Source organism: Homo sapiens, chromosome 7, assembly GCF_000001405.40.
Source record: "Homo sapiens chromosome 7, GRCh38.p14 Primary Assembly".
Classification (NCBI taxonomy): Eukaryota; Metazoa; Chordata; class Mammalia; order Primates; family Hominidae; genus Homo; species Homo sapiens.
In genome coordinates this window covers 87189923-87195030 of record NC_000007.14, presented here as the reverse complement: position 1 = coordinate 87195030, position 5108 = coordinate 87189923, and the positions used below count along the sequence as shown (strand labels likewise).

Sequence of the window (5108 nt, the reverse complement as noted above, 5' to 3'; positions counted from 1 at the left end):
CTGTAATGAGTTTCAAGTTAGTCTTAAATGTATATATTTATTCTCTAATCCATGTCAAGAATTTAAGGTATTCTACCACAGTGTAGAACTCAACAGGACTAGTAGCTTATTGGATCAAGAAAGACTGAAACAAGTTAATTAAATGTCTGTTTTTTTCCATCTAAAATTTATCAGGCACATAGTAAGTATTATATTACAGTACCTGTTAGTGTTGTCAAAGGCAAGACAGATTCAGTATCTATAACATCAGATGCCTGGATAAAGCCATGTGGTGAAGGAACGATAAGTATTGTTTCATCATCAATTGTTTGATCAACTTGTTCTTCTATAGTGGGAGACTCTAAACCCTAAATAACATTAAAAAAAAAATATTGACTCATATTCTTACTAGTCTTCCTTAAAATCCCATGTATAGGTATGTATAGGTTAGACTTAAACATAACCCATTTAAAAATCAGAATATAAAATAAAAAGTTAAGGTCTCACAGGGACAAAAGATGACCTCACAATCTAACATACTTTTAACAAAAGGAACTCATAAGGACTAGGTCAGTTATAGGTCAGCTGAATATAACAGAAGAAACAATGCTGTTACAGTGTAGGATGATGTTCCTAGGCTGAACCACAAAGATTACTAACCACTCAGGAAAATGCTTCTATGGGTTCTAACAAACATTTCTCAATGTATTGTAGGTAAAGAGGAAAAAGTTTTAGTGAGGAACTGTGGTAAGATAGAACATGGTTTTCTTATTCTTCCTGACTGCCACAGGATCACTGCCTGCCCATTTCTGCCAGTGACAACACTTTGTGAGGTGTGAGGTTGGGGGTTTGAGCTTAATTTCATGAGTCTTCAGAAAAAAGTTTCCCAAACTGCAGGTTTGAGGCTCAAGGCAAGAATCCATTCAGTTGTTCTTAAAGTACAACTTACCTCAGTAACATAAGCACTGGCTAAATCAGAGGGTGATTCCTCTTGTTTAAGGTCGGTGTCAGAGATTTCTTCTTCTGTTCTGACCATAACACTATTCATCAGTTCTGTGCTATTTTGGTCACTGAATTTGGATACATGAGCATCATTAAATGATGGCTCCACAGTCATCTTAGGGTGATGAATTTCATCTGGGAAAGTGTCTGCTTCTAGGGCGTCTGGAGGCTCAGGAAAATCAGATGACTGAATATCACTATCGACTGTCAGTTCTGCTTGGGATATGGAAGAAGTGATGTCCTCTGTGGCAACAGTCTGAATGATGACTCTTGGTGTGTGACACTGCACTGTAACATTATCACTTGTGTTCAACAAATGTTCTGGCTATAAAACATTAAAGAACCTGTTAAAGTTGTAAATCAAATGACATTTATGGGGGTACCTCACTGTCTCCCCCCACATCTCTTACCTCTCAAACTGTAAATACTTTTATCACTATTTTTCTAGAACCCTTGTCCTTTACTTGCTAGGGCCTTTGTTCTTCTAATGTCCCTATTCTAATGTATAGCCATCTTACATAAAGAGAAGGGATGAAACATACACTCCAGTGAAGGCAGAGTGATGGTGTATAACACTGTGCCTGGAACAGCAGCAGTAGGAAGAACTGTTTAGATAACTACCTTCTATTTTGGTCCTTATCAACTAATCCTGGTCTATAACAGGTACTCAAAAATCAAGTAATTTATGTAACATACGGATAAAGCATGAACAATAATCTGTTCAGGAGAAGCAGGAGCAGCAGCTGTCAGGGTTACTGTGGGACTAGCAGTCAGAGTTAGGGGAAGGCCTTGGCTTGAGCTTGTTTGAAGTAGGTAGGTGCCTGGAGTGCCAGTGGGCTGTAGATGGAAAGACTAAAGGAAAAAGGAAAGATAGTTTAACAATGATTAAGTCTACTTTTATATACAAAAACGGACTGAGTTTAGTTTACTAGACACAAATGTACTTACCCATTGTGAAGGTGCGAACAAGTAATACAATGTAGGGCATAATCGTCTCAAGTCATTACCTAGCCTGAAGGTTTAAGAGGCTGCTCTTTGCTCCTGTGTATTTCTATGGTCTGGTCTCAGCTATTTGTTTCAGGGCACCAAGACAGTTGTATGAGCCACTGTTTCCAGTGCAGTAACCCACAACACCCAATCACCCCTCTTTTTCTTTCTTTGTAGCACGTAAAAACTGGCAGGCCCCCAGTTTAAAAAAAAAAGGCACAACAGCAGTGTTTACTTGAACACTTTTTCACGGTATAATTTTGGGAAATTTTTTATAGAAAGGGACAGGGTACAGAAATAGTAATTAGCAATGTTCTGCTGAAGGAGAAAGATGTTTATCTGAAAAAGCTGGTTAACTATTAAATAACACATTTTCTTTTGAATTTTTAAAGGAAGTATAATAAAATTGACCAATAAACTTTTCACGACCATAAGCTTCTATATAAAAAATTTGATTTAGGTTTATCTTAATATTCTAAAAAAGTATTTGCACTCTAAAATAGGTCTGGGAGTTAAAATCATGTAGCCTGTTTTTCAGTCTTGTGTACTTAGCTGAAACAACTCTCCTGGGTACTAAATCCCCAAATATAGGTTTCCTTATTGCTAAAGTGGAGACAGTAACTACTTCTCATGGAAAGTGTTTGGGATTAGAAATGATTATGAAAGTGCCTGGAACTCTGTGAGGACTCAATTTCTTTTCCTTTCCATAAAGGTTAAATCATTTTCCTAAAGGTAGCATATATTAATCACAAATGTGAGGCTTTATTTTAAATACTTTATATGTACATGTATATATTATATGTGTTTTATTTAATATACTTAACATTTAATTTTCACAATTTTTTGAAGCTGGAGTACTATTATTATCCTGTTAATAAATTAAGGGAAAGCCTAAATATTGTGACCCCATAAGTAAAAACCTGAACACATACCTCAAATATGTAGGTGTGTACATATATTGTTTACCAGGGGAATGGGCTTAAAAAAGTAAAAGTTTTCTACCTGTGTCAAATGGTTGTCTTATACATCCCCATTTCAAAGACCACTAGATTAGGAGACTGACTTAGGTTAAGTAAGCTGCCAGTAAAAAGTTCCAAAGGTGGCCATCCTCTTGGGATTTGGCTGGGGAGAGGATGAATAAAGTCTTGCACTAATAATAACTCTGTGTTCTTCATGGTAAATTAAATCTTGATTTAATAAAATTTTTATTTTCTTAAGGAAATATGAATTATAGGTTTACTTGTTTTAGAAAGGGCATTCAGTCATGCTCCACTTTCAACCTACACTTCAGCTGCAGGAAACCACTGATCTACTTTTCGTCTACAAATTTGCCTATTTTGGACATTTCAAATAAATGGGAGCCCAGTACTATGTGATATTTTGTGTTGTCTGGTTTCTTTCACTTAGCCTATTTTTCAAGGTTCATCAATGTTGTACCATGTTTCAGTATTTCATTGCTGAGTAATATTTGCATGGCAATAGCACATTTTATCCATTTTTCTGTTGCTAGACATTTTGGTTGTTTAATGCCATGAACATTCATGTACAAGTTTTTATTGGACAGATATTTTCATTTCTCTTAGGTGGATCCTTTGGTAACTGTGCTTAACCTCTTCAGGAGCTACAACACATTTCCAAAGCAGCTAAACCACTTAGCACTGGGACTGTTACATTTTGTATCCCCAGTGGCTAGTACAGTGTTTACTGAATGAATGTTGTTAAATTGCTCATGATTAGTTTGTCCACAGACTTTCTCAAATAACCAATATGAACTTTTTGGTTATAAATTATAACTCAGTACAAATCCACAGTATGTATATACTCATTAGCACTGTCATTTTCATATAGATAACATTTTGGTTTATATACAGATGAGAGAAAAGCTGATTAAAATTATAAAAGTAGAAGTCTGATTTAGTCTACCATTCATTTGGCCTCAGACTTTTATGAATCATAAGCAAATGAAACACAAAAGTGATAGCAACTGATCTTTCTCATGCATAAAAATGGCCAATATATATGAAGCGTTACTCACGGGAAGAATCTCAAATGTCTGTAGTGTTCCACTGTTTAGTGTTATTGTTTCTGAGTCAACGGTAGCAGGAGAGTCTGCTGAAGCTGTGGTAAGAATAAGGTAAGCTGTGGTAAGAATAATTTACAATAAATGTTTTGTTAATTTAAGTTTCTCTAGTGTACTCAATTATCATAAAGGCAATTTAATATTGAATAATTTGCCTGGAGACCTGAAGTCATTTACATTTCTTAAGAGAGATAAGGAATCTAATGAATTTGTCTTGCATGACATATAGTGCAGGGGTGGGCTAACTATGGCCCACAAATCCAGCCCATTGCCAGTTTTTGTAAATAAAGTTTATTGGAACACAGCCACACCTACTGGTTTATATATTTTCTGTGGTTACTTTAGCACTACAACAGAGTTGAGTACCTGTGACAGACACCAGAAGGCCCATAAAGCCTAAAATATTTACTATATCTGTTCCTTTATAGAAAAGGTTTGCTAACCCTTGGTATACATGATTAAATGTTTCTAACGGTAGGAAGTAAAGAGGAACACACTAAGACCAACCTGCAAAAAGACAGGAACTTGGTAAAAACTAGTTTTCTTGTATATATGGGTAAGCACTATGGATGTCTGGACTGGTAGTCCAAAAATACTAGGCTTTAATCACTTCCTAGCAGTATAAAACCTGGGTAAATAACTTACTTTATAAACTAATGTTCAGGTATTTTTTTTTTTACCTGTCCTGCCTACCTCATACAGCTGTGAGGATCAAAAGTGCTTGTAAACACAAATAAATGTTAAGAGAGCATTATTTCCGAAGACCACATTTGGGGACTGAATAAAGATCAGACAGTATAATGTCTTTACATGTGTGTCAACTGAGGATCAGACTTTATCAACGTCTGCTCAAGGTTAAATAGAACATGCTAGAAATGTCATCTTTTTTGGCGCTTGCAGTCATACCTATAGGTAAATTATGTGAAATATGATTTGGAACTTTTACTGTGTAATGTTTATTATAGTTTATTAAATTCTGACTACAACACTTCTCAGCTATTTAAAAGGAATCTAATGCCCTTACCAATAGAAATGCACTTGATTTGTAATATTCATCTTA

At 35.5% G+C, this 5108-nt stretch overlaps 1 protein-coding gene across 53 annotated transcripts in view; it reads right to left on the bottom strand.

The window, feature by feature from the left end:
• Positions 1–5108, bottom strand: part of DMTF1 (cyclin D binding myb like transcription factor 1) — a 43873-nt gene that overhangs the window by 1295 nt on the left and 37470 nt on the right. For 38 of the 53 annotated variants that reach the window (NR_024549.2, NR_024550.2, XM_047421106.1 and 35 more), the window contains 4 exons: positions 4004–4086; positions 1678–1833; positions 929–1306; positions 203–347 (listed from right to left, as the gene is read on the bottom strand). Coding sequence is in view for 51 of the 53 variants with exons in the window: in XM_047421106.1 (XP_047277062.1) it covers positions 203–347; positions 929–1306; positions 1678–1833; positions 4004–4086 (762 nt within the window). In the remaining 2 variants the exon portion in view is untranslated. The remainder of the gene's footprint in view (positions 1–202; positions 348–928; positions 1307–1677; positions 1834–4003; positions 4087–5108) is intronic. The other 15 variants (XM_047421123.1, XM_047421131.1, XM_047421126.1 and 12 more) reach the window with 1 other exon arrangement.